Source organism: Homo sapiens, chromosome 13 (assembly GCF_000001405.40).
Source record: "Homo sapiens chromosome 13, GRCh38.p14 Primary Assembly".
Classification (NCBI taxonomy): Eukaryota; Metazoa; Chordata; class Mammalia; order Primates; family Hominidae; genus Homo; species Homo sapiens.
Genome location: NC_000013.11, coordinates 103,132,085 through 103,144,026, shown reverse-complemented (window position 1 = coordinate 103,144,026; position 11,942 = coordinate 103,132,085). Strand labels below are relative to the sequence as shown.

The window sequence follows — 11,942 nt, the reverse complement described above, 5'->3', positions numbered from 1 at the left end:
GGATTCCTCCATTGTAAATTATTTTTCAAAGCAATAGCAAAAAATTTACTAAATTTTGTGCAAGCAGTTTTTCAATATCTATAAAACTTCTATTTTAAAACATGATCTAAGTTTTTCAGTCTTATGTAATATATTTATTACAAAATGTCATATACTGCATGAAAATTTAAATTGTGATGAATTACTTAAGAGATTAGCAGATTTCAAGTATTAATGGACTAAATTAAAGGTCATAACTTTGTCAACACAAAGTGCTTTCCATACATGTGATTAATAACAAAAGAGACTATTTGGGACTAAATACTTTTACTACCTTCCCTGTGTTAGATTGTGATATCCATATCACAAACATGATGGATTTTCCTAATCAGTGGTACTAGAGTTCTCATTAAGTACTCATTAAACTTCTGCACCTTAGGATAACCTTGAGAGGTGCATTAGACACTAATGAGTAAATGCTTTCATTGTATGAGCATAACTCCTATTAATGATAATGGAATTTATATGCATGCAGCAGGCAAAGATAGTAGAGATAAACTATAAAAATAATACCAATTTGAATTTCATATCCCAGTACTCAAATAAAGGATATATTTGTTAATTTGTTCTAATAAAACTGTCTTCAAAAATGCCACATATGGATAGAAATTAGCTGGGGGAAAAAACCTTTAAGACATTTAAAAATACTTAAATGCTTGGCAATCATGAGTAAAGGTAAAATAATAAATATCTGGATTAGAACAGGAACAATTTTTTTAGAAAAAAACAATAGTTTTAGGTTCTGTAAGGTCTTACAGTCAAATTCCTTAATGTATTTTGTTAGCAATACAGTTGATGAATTGATAAAACATTTATCTGTCCTCTGTGCTTTCTGTTTTATTTATTGTTATTGTTGGTTTTTTCTTAATTAAATTATTTCCATGCTCAAAAATGCTTTACTGTACAATTTACTGTACTATTACTATAAGGAAAACAGATATTATATAGGTCAAATAAAACCTTGATTCAGGGATAATAACACCCTGCCTATTTACTTCCTCTTCATTCTGAACACGAGTAGTTAAATTATTTTAACTAGTGACTATCCAAACTAATTTTCAAGTTATTCTGCAGTTGAGACCTCCGAAAACTTCTGACAGACCTACTCATGAGTATAATTGTATTCCAAGACTTTCTTCTTGTTGACTAAATTGTCCTGATGTACTTAAATTTCATTTCTTCTTAAATCTTTTTTGGAGATGAGGAAAATAAGGTCACCATCTTGGAATAGTAGAATCTTTGATCTCAGGAGATTATCTAGCAAATAGTAATTGTCTTCTTGCACTCTGCTGGCATTGAGAAACTCAGTAATATGAAAGGCAGGCCATTTCAATTGTTAAAACATTCTTACTTATAATTAGCTAAAATCTATTCTGTAGATAATTCTAGGCCCAAAAATCCTCGCTCTTAAAGTCAAATGGAATAGCCTTAATTCCTCTCCCAAATAACAGGCCTCAAATTCATGAAGACGTGTTTCTGTGCTGATGTCTCTTTTCTCCATTGAACATTCACTGTACCTTCAACCATTGCTTATATAAGATAAGGTTCATTACCCACTGACCTCTGGACCTCTCTGGATAGATGTCAGAGAGGTGCTCTCCTGCTTCAATAAGGCAGCTAGAATTAATCGCAATCTTCCTGCAGTGAGTTCAGCAGTGCTGAGTGCAGAAAGCTTATTATCTTCTGTGAACTGGACACACTTCTTTCCTCTATTAACACAGCCTAGGATTGCATTAGATCATTTGTCAGTCTCCTCACCTTGGATAACCCTCCATATCTATGGATATATTAACAGGAGGGAATTGAGAGGATCTTTTATCAGACCATCTAGTCTGACCTCCTGAACCTTTAATCAAATAGCAGTGCTTTTATAGCAGGTTATCTGGAAACCTATATAAATGGATCGTTAAAAACACTGTTGTGTTGCTTTGGAACCACTAAAAATTGGGAGAGGTGGCTGGTATTCAAACATCCTTTCATTTGTTCCTGTGTTGGTGAATTGAGTATTAATAAGCCACAACCATGTGTCTGGCTGGGACAGAGACATGAAGAACAGACCCCTGAATCTCAGTTCCCAGATGTCTCAGATAAGCTGACCGATAATGACACACTGTGTGCCAGGTACTCTGATGAAGGTGTGTAACAGTGATGTGAGGACAGAGAGGAGGAATGCCCAACCCAGCCTAGGTCAGATGAGGGGTCGTGGAGGCATCGCAGAGAATCCCATTCTGAGTCGGATCTTAAAGGAAAAGCGAGGGTCCTCCTGGCTCCCCTTCTTCAGTGACTACAACAATGGCTTTGTGCTAAGAAATAAATGAATCAAAATTTAAAATAAGACAAAGTTAACAGTTGGATAGTTAATGAATAGATGGATCAGTTAATTAATGAGTTAATTAGATATAAAGAGTACTTCAGTCATGTGCCAGCCACGGAGATGAAAGATTAATGTATTCATAGAGAGATAAGCAGTTTGGTTAAGCTACAACTATGCTTTTAGAGGAGGAACAAGAAATGGGACGAGAGAAGTAGGTAAGAAGAAAATAATGTGAAGGAACAGGGACTAGATACAGAAGAAACACATGGTGTTGCTCTTGGAAAAGTCCAGCAAAAAAGAGAAAAGAGGAAGGAAGGCGGGAACATGTTTGAGAGACACCAAGGACTAAGGATACCAGAGGTAGTGACGGAAACATAATTCCTTGGTTTCTCACCTGGGCCACTGTAAGAAAGAAGATTGAATTGACCAACCTTCAGACCAGAGGTAGGGCAGATTTTGAAAGTGAGGGGAGTGACAAATCCAGTTTGCTTTGAATTAAATGTAAGACATAAGGTGGAGCATTGATAAGAGAAATCCGTAAGGAATGGACCACCCATTCCCAGTCTTCAATGAGGAGATGGGACTAAATACGGATCTCTGGGTTACCAGAGGACATACATGATAGTTCACGTCTTTGGGGTGAATGAGATTGCCCGGGGAAAGAGGGAAAGTACCCAGCGTGGAGAGAAAAATGCTAAACATCAAGGCCTGGGCAACTACAAGTATCTAAGAGGCTGCCTAAGGAAGAGAAATCCACAAACCAGACTTCGAAAGCATCTCTGAGAAGGGAGGAATTGGATATATTGGTATGTTGAGTAACAAAGGCCAGCTGAGCAGAAGTCAAAAGCAGGAAGGTCGGAATGATTAATGGATCAAAAGTTCTACTATCTCACAGACTTTAATTATAAAACATAAACTTCATTTTCAAAGAATACATCTTTCTAAGAAATCAGCTAAAAGGGCACTTTCTTAATAACGAATCACTTTTTCTTTGCCATCTTTCTCATTTTAAGGGTCTCCTTTCAGCTACTCCAGTGCTAAAATGTATTTCTAAAACCTTCCAGAAAAGCTGAGGCAGGAGCAGAGGCTGGGTTCAGATATGGGGCCTTGAGATAGAGTTTGGATGTTATTCTCTGTGAAATGGGAAGCTTCGAACCATTCACATTCAGCAGCCCTGGACTGCAATACCCACATTTTATCAGTAGGTGCTGATATCTAATAAGACATGGTTGCTCAAGACCTCAGTTACAAAGAAACCCGAGGACATGGATGGGTCTGGATAGCTGATGGTTCACCACTGTAAGCTACGGATCTGTTCCCCGCACCCCTTTACATTTTTAATGGATTGTTCCCCTAAATCTGTCTATACTTATAGTATAGCATATTCTATGTTTAGATCATTTTATTGTTATATTGAGAAAATGGAAGCCATAAGAGGAGTTTCCTCATTTTGACACCACCAAGTTCACCAGCCTCTGCATATCTTTGTCTGTCCTCTGCCTTTCCTCTTCAGACACATCAAGTGCCCCAGAGGGAATCAAAACCCACCCTTCACTTAGTGCTCTGTGCCTATCCTCACTCACCTTTGCGAATGCTTTACTTGGTTACTCTCAGGAGTTATCTCATCTCCTATCTCATCTGCATTTTTAATTTAAATTGTATTTGTATAAATGTATGGGGTCTAAGTGTAATTTTGTCACATGTCTGTATTGATAGTGGTGAAGTTGGGGATTTTAGGGCATCCATGATCCAAATAATGTATATTGCACTCATTAAGTAATTTCTCATTATCTACCCATGTCCACCCTGAAAGTGCTTTGAGTCTTCATCATCTACCATTCCCACTCTATGTCCATGTGTATGTTATTTTGCTCCGACATGTAAGTGAGAACATGCGGTATTTGTCTTTCTGTGTCTGAGTTGTTTTACTTAAAATAATAGTCTTCCATTCCATCCATATTGAGGCAAAAGACTTGATTTCATTTTTTATGGCTGAATAGTATTCTACTGTGTATATATGCTACATTTTCTTTATTCATTCATCCATTGATGAACATGGGTTGATTCCGTAGTTTTCCCATAGTGACTAGTGCTGCAATAAACAGATGAATGCAGGTATCCTTTTAATAGAATGATTTCTTTTCTTTTGGGTATCCAGATATCCAGATTGCCAGATCCTGTGGTCCTCCTAGTTTTAGTTCTTTGAGAAGTCTCCATGCTGTTCTCCATAAAGGTTGTACTAATTTATATTCCCACCAACAGTGTACAAACACTCTCTTTTCTCTGCATTCTCACCAACATCTGTTATTTTTTTCCTGCCTTTTTAGTAATAGCCATTCTGACTGGTATAAGATGATAGCCTCCCGCAGTACCAGAACTCTCCCTTTAAAATACAAATGTATGATACACCTTCCACCTTAACAATATTTAATGTACAAGTGTCCTAACTACCATGCAATGCCCCCTTCACAGCGTAACCTCAAGTAAAGGCTGTTTCCACTGTCTCTACTTTCTCGCTTCCCAATTTCATCACTGATTCCAAACAGATTTCTATTTCTTCCATCAACTGACCAAATCAAGACTGCCAATGAGCCCCCACTGGACCCTCTTCCACAGCTGTGGTATTCGACTTTCCACATGTACCTAATTCAGTTGACCACTCCTTCCTTCTTGGAGCTCTTTCTTCTATTGGTTTCTGCAACACTCTCATTATTCCACTTACCTAAGGCTCCTTCTCAGCTTCCCTTGGTTGATTTCTCCTTCCCTCTTCCTCTGATCTCACATTGATATTTAATATGAATTTCACACTCAAATCGCAAATCAGAGTTTGTCATTTCACCTCAAATCCTCACTGGGTCTTCCCCATTTCAGTAAATGGCACCACCATCCGTTCACACAGTTAAAGTCAAAAGCCTGGGAATCTTCCTTACCACCCCCTCCGTTTTCTTCACTCCCTGCCTGCAATCCATCAGCAAATCCCATCAGTGCTACTTCTGAAATATACACGGACCTCACCCACTTCTCCCATTTCCACTGTTTCCTGTCTGGTCTAAGGGCCATCCTAGTAGTCTGGACATCCCCAGCCACCTGCCAAGCCTCTCTGCCACTGCTTTTACATCCTGTGATCCAGAGTAATCTTTTACTCTTTTCCAAGTGATGTCAGTACCCTGAATAAAACTCTCCAATGGCTTCCCACCTCACACAGAATAAAATCCAGCTCCACGTCAGGGTCCCATACCCAGCCTCCTCTCCTCCTCCAGGTTTTCCAGAATTCCCTGGACTCACCATGCTTCACTTTTCACATAAGCCCTTCTGTTCTTGAAGTCACAAGGCACATTCCAGCCTCAGGACCCTTGCACATGCAACCCCTCTTGCTGGAACACCAGTCTTCACAGGCTTGGCTTCTCTTTCCATTCAGGTCTCTACTTAAAGGTCACCATTAATTAACAGCTTTCCTAACCACTTTGCCTCAGGTAGAACCGGTCGCCCTCAGCTGTAAGTTGGGTCTCTATCACACCATCCCATTTTCTTCGTATCCCTTTTTGCTATCTGAAATTAACCTTTTTAAAATTTATGTTTTATATTGTTGTGTGTTTTCCTAAACTAAAATATAAACTCAATGAAACCAGGTACCTGGTCTCTTTTAGTCACTTCTGGGTGCCCCCCAGTGCCTGGTATAATGAAGTGTTTAATAAATAATAAATCAATGATAAACCAGGGATAAATGCTGTCTGACTATGATTTGGGGATTCTTGATACATTGAAACAACATTTATAGAGGTAAGAGATTTTGCCCTTAAATTCTGAAACCCTCGTAACCTGGCTAAGGCATATAAAGACCTCTGATTTAAAATTTTAGTTGATCCAGTCTATCATTGTTGGACATTTGGATTAAGCAAATGTGGCACATATACACCATGGAATACTATGCAGCCATAAAAAATGATGAGTTCATGTCCTTTGTAGGGACATGGATGAAATTGGAAATCATCATTCTCAGTAAACTATCGCAAGAACAAAAAACCAAACACCGCATATTCTCACTCACAGGTGGGTATTGAACAATGAGAACACATGGACACAGGAAGGGGAACATCACACTCTGGGGACTGTTGTGGGGTGGGGGGACGGGGGAGGGATAGCTTCAGGAGATATACCTAATGCTAAATGACGAGTTAATGGGTGCAGCACACCAGCATGGCACATGTATACACATGTAACTAACCTGCACATTGTGCACATGTACCCTAAAACTTAAAGTATAATAATAATAAAAGAAAAAAAAAGAAAAATATCCCAATAAAAAAAAATAAATAAAATTGTAGTTGAACTTGCAGGCTGAAGAATTTGGTTTGACATGAAATCTATACAAGGGTGTGTAAACACATTTACATATGATCTCTCCCAGTGACGTTAAATCATTCTTACAAATTTTAAGCACTATTGGCTATTGTTTTGTCATGGAGGGGGTTCATAAAGAACATTAAAAATAGAGTCTAATTTCTCTTTTAAACTAGAAAAAACAAATTTGTGGAAATCACCCAAATATAATACTTCAGCGGGAGACAAGAACACAGGAAAGTTTTAAAACTTGCAATTGCCCACAAGTAAGCACCTAAGAGGCTATTAGCTGCCACCTGGTATCACAACCTCAGTAAGTTTCCAGGCCCACACACTGAGAAACAAAAGGCATTCCGGAGATGTGGCCTCGATCAGAAGAGGTGAGAACAGTTCTTAGTCTTAGCAAGGTGGTCATGGTCATTAGACCAGTATCCTGACCACACCAAGGCTTCCTAAATTCCGGAGATCCCCGGGTTGGTTTGCAAGACCCTCCCTGCCTATGTTTCCATGGAGATTAGGGCTCTTAGGTTAGAATAAGAGGGACTGAGCACTTGCCCCAGGGGAACAAGTTGCAGATACCAGGTGGGGTGGTGACAAGGCTTGCGGGGATGCTATGAGCTTTACAGAGGAAAGAGACTGGCGGCCATCACTCAGGCCTCCAGCAAGAAAGAAAGGGGAGCGTGGGGAGCCAATCTGGGGCTAACAAGCAGTATAAACTCCATTTGCCGTAAAAAGGAGTGTGTGGTTTGTCCACGCTGCTGCACCAGGGTCAAGGCTGTGTTGAGCAGGAGCACAGAAGCACAGTTAGGAGTGTGGGCGGCTAAGCGCTCAGTGCCTGGACAGATGGCTTTAGGGCTCCACGCTGCTGCCCCTCCCTCATGGCTGCAGATTTCAGGGAGTTGTGTGACCTTTCACCGCTCAGCTTTCTCCTCTGTAAATACACGTGCACACCTGTGGTCACTATTTTCTCTTAGGGTTGCTGGAAAAATTAATATTAATAATCCCATTGTAAAAAAGTAATAGAAGACAGCTGTTATTAACAAAAGAGATTAAATTGTAGCTTGTGTGTCTGCTTTCTAGAGTTCTTCTACCCCCATCGTTGCTGTTCAGCCATCATCTCTCAGCCAGTTTGCTTTGAGCACCTCTTTTCTTCCCATCAAACTCAACACTGTTTATCGTGATGAGACATGGTACTTCTCAAAATTGGAAACAAGACTGTAGTTTATTATTTATATCGGTCTATCCATTGTGCTGTAACCTCCATGAAGGCAGGTGTCCCATTCACCGCCCTATATCCTCACAGCCTCGTTTCGGGTTTGAGCATATTTCTATTTGACTCTTAACTCAATCAATATTTGTTGAATGTTGTTCTGAAATCTGCCTGTCATGTCCATCGTCATAGTGACAAAAGAATATAGAGTGACAGTCAGGGACTCCTTGGTGAGGAACATGCATAAGCATTAGTGTATGAATATTTAAGTCCCTTCTCTCAGAGGCATCTTTCCTTGCTTCTAAGTGAGACTGTGGAGAAATGCTGAGCGGGAGGCCACTTACCCACCTGTTATCCTGCACCAGATGACTACCCAGGACCCCAATTCTTTCATCTATTAAATGGAAATCAGGGTAGCAAACCCACAGGAATGTTGTGAAGACTAAGCGTTATACAGAAACCATTTTTAAATTTATTTTTAAGCAAGAGTAACCATCTTTAAAACAAATGTGACAGGTAATCCCAAAATATAAAACGGACCAAGTGGAACTTCAGGAGGACAGACTCTCTGCTTGGCTCTTAGCACATCCCCAGGAAACCTCATCAGAAGTTAGAGCTCATGGGACCATAGTGTCAAAACCACTGAGGCTCAGGCTGTCACGCGCTGAACAGGGAACATAACAGACTTGGAATAGACATGTACTCTCTCTCTTCTGGCTTATCTTCTTTGCATTTAGCTGAGGTTGCTTCATAAACAAGTTCTAGCTCTAAGGGCAGGGAGGGGAGTGGTAGGTGACTTTCCCCCAATATGAAATTGAAGTTCTCATCTTAGAGCTATACAAAGTAAACTAGCATCTGTGTTGGCAGTTCTCTGAGTTTTAAGTTGTGGATATTGTGTTAAAACAGAGATCCAAGTCATTAAACACGAACAGCAGGCATGAAAGAAAATAACTCTTGCACAGTACCGTTTCATATTGTTGTAACCAGAATTATAAAGGTAAAAATGAGTCCCATCTAGGGATAAAGGAAGAATTTTTACTTGACATCAAGAGCATGTGATTGATGCAGGGCCATTTCCCAACAAAAAAGCATCCAGCACAAAATATTATTTCATTATCTTTTCCAGCTTTTTTGAGGTATAATTTACAAATAAAAGTTGTATATATTTAAGATGTACAACATGTTTTGATACACATTGTGAAAGGATTACCAGCTTCAAACTAATTAACATATTCATCACCTCACAGAGTTAATATTTGTTGTATATTATGACAATACCTAAGATCAATATCTTAGCAAATTTCAAGTATTCAATATAGTATTGTTAACAATAGTCACCATGCTGTACATTAGATCTCCAGAACTCATTCAAAAAAATATTATCTATATAAAAATATTATAACAGCTACAAATGCACTATAAAAGGTATGGGTGAGAGTCTATTGTTTGTTTGTTTTTAATTTTCCTTCCATTGTAAGGAGATGGGGAGAGAAAACTGGTTCATTGCACTTTTTGGCAGCTGAACTCTGTTCTCTGATTGGCATGTCTTTGCTTCTCTCCTCCCCAGGCAGAGACCACTCAGCTCTGCCTGAGGCTCATGTCTCTGGCTAAGCTTCCTGGCTTCTGCTTGTCACTCTCAGCCTGAGCATCTCCTCCAGCCCCTTGGCTTCACCACTTCCCCTCAAGGGACCTTGTCCACTATGACTCCCTCGACCTCTAGATAAAACGGTTCAGTTCCACATGCACCAGGGCACTAGATACCCTTTGCATGTCTTTATCTTTCAATTTAGCTGATGGCCCTTGGCTCACATTTAATGGAAACTTTCATTCTGCCAGAGGGGATTGCTTTATCTAGCTTTTTTATACAAAAGTTCAGCCATTGAATCGGCTTGGTAGGTGACCTGTGTGGCCCAGCAAGAGTGTCAGGAAGCCATTTTTTCCTTCTCAGTTCATCAGAAGTGTTCCTTGCACCCCCATATAGAATTGCCCCACAGCACACTGGCAGCTCAACATTTGAAGGTGTTTTCTAGGAATGCAGCAAAATGCCCTAAAATGTCCTCATATGAGGCCAAAACGTCCAACCTGAATAAAAACTCATAAATTTACCTGGAACTATATTGCTGTCTCTGGTCCAGTCTCCATGGGAAGACATCCAATACTTACAACCAACAAATTTATGTAATCTTTTGAGTTTCCAAGTCTAAGAAAAAAAGTGGCACAAAGCCAGGTTTAGGTGAAGTCTAACAATGGGGATCACCCACAAGTTGAATGTTAAGCTGGGGAAAATAACAAGTGCTCATCAATTATTTTCTAAAGTTACTCTGGACAAGACCCAAGAGAATACCATTACTCCAGTCCCTGCAATGCCTTTTATGCCAGCCAAGTGCAAACCTGAACAAACAACCCTTCTCTTGGCAAGGCAGGCAGGTCTTTAAAGGAATCCGACTGCTGCTGACTGCGCCCCAGTCTGCTTTTATCAGAAGATCGAAGGAGCTGGATGGGCAGCCTCGTTCCCAACAGGCTGTTTCCACTGTCTGCTGCAGAGAGCAATGCCCCCTGGGGTTAATACACTGCATAAGAGACAGAGTGAAAACTGACCAGTGACCACCAAGGGGGAAGCTGGGGCCTCCATCAGCCACACCATCTGAGGAGCCCCACATCACATCAGAGAGACTGAGAGACAGAGCCTGGCCAGCGCCTTCAATCGTGTTCCTGGTGCCTGGGAGTCCATTGAGAAGCATCAAGCTGGCCTGAGCTTCTTTTAACCTCAAGAACAAAGACCAGTGTGAGTGGGGATCAGAAAAAGAGTGAAAGGAGAAAGGGACAAATTAGAACAAAATGCCAGGGTGATAAAGGGAACAGAAGCAACATGCACCCAACTGTTTGAAGTCAAGGGCTCCCGAGGAGAAGGCAGGTTCTCCTTCCCTTTGCAAGGTCACTAGTCACAAGCATGCGACCACAGGGTAGCCTCAGGCAGCCCTGAGATCTCCTTTTCCCTCGCAGTTAGGTGAGCATAGGATGTGGCAGCTGACTCAAGCAGAAGCAAGGAGTCTCTGCCAGGGGTTTGGGATTTGAAAGCAAAACAGAGAAATCTACACTCCCTTTGGATGCCAGGATCTATGGCATGTGGTATAATGAGAGATAAAGGTCGCAGTTCTAAGCACTCTGAGTGCAGGACCTGTTGGGTTAGAGTGGCAGGGCACCTTCCACCCACCCATCAGGAAAGCAGAGAGAACTGCCGTGCAGATAAAAATGAGGCAGGTGCAGCCAGGCACGGTGGCGCAGCTGGGCACGGTGGCTCACGCCTGTAATCCCAACACTTTAGGAGCCTGAGGCGGGCAGATCACGAGGTCAGGAGATCGAGACTATCCTGGCTAACACGGTGAAACCCCATCTCTACTAAAAATACAAAAATTAGCCAGGCATGGTGGTGGACGTCTGTAATCCCAGCCACTTGGGAGGCTGAGGCAGGAGAATCGCTTGAACCTGGGAGGTGGAGTTTGCAGTGAGCCGAGATCAGGCCACTGCACTCCAGCCTGGTGACAGAGTGAGGGTCCATCTCAAAAAAAAAAAAAAAAGGCAGGTGCACAGGGCTCAGGTGCCCAGACCAAATGTCTTCATGGGCAACCTTGCCAGAGAATAGTCCCACTCTCCTAGATCATTTAATTTTTCTTCTTCTATTTCATAACCAACTGGAAGTCTGCCCCATCATTGAACTTTAAGCAGAAACTACCATTCATTCATTCATTCATCCAACAATATTTACCCAACAAAACACTGTTCCAGCTCTTAGACAAAACTGAACAACAACAAAAATTTAGCCTTTGTGAAACTAACATTCTAGTGGGGACTGATTAGGAATAATCAAGACAATATAGAAAGTAACTTACATAGCTTTCTACAATGATAGAAGAAAACCAGGCTGCTCTGCCTATGGGATAGCCCAGCTCTATCTATAGAGCAGCCGAAAAAAAAATTATTCAGGATAAAAGGAATCCTAGAGAGAGAGTGCTGCAATTTTAAATGAGTAGTCAAAGT

At 40.9% G+C, this 11,942-nt stretch overlaps 1 annotated feature.

Moving 5' to 3' along the window:
* Nucleotides 9,652-9,711: an enhancer, noted in NCBI's record as "active region_7976". NCBI's record gives its function as "activates an Ori minimal core promoter by ATAC-STARR-seq in GM12878 lymphoblastoid cells {active_cell/tissue: GM12878}" and the evidence as "EXISTENCE:reporter gene assay evidence [ECO:0000049][PMID:35858748]".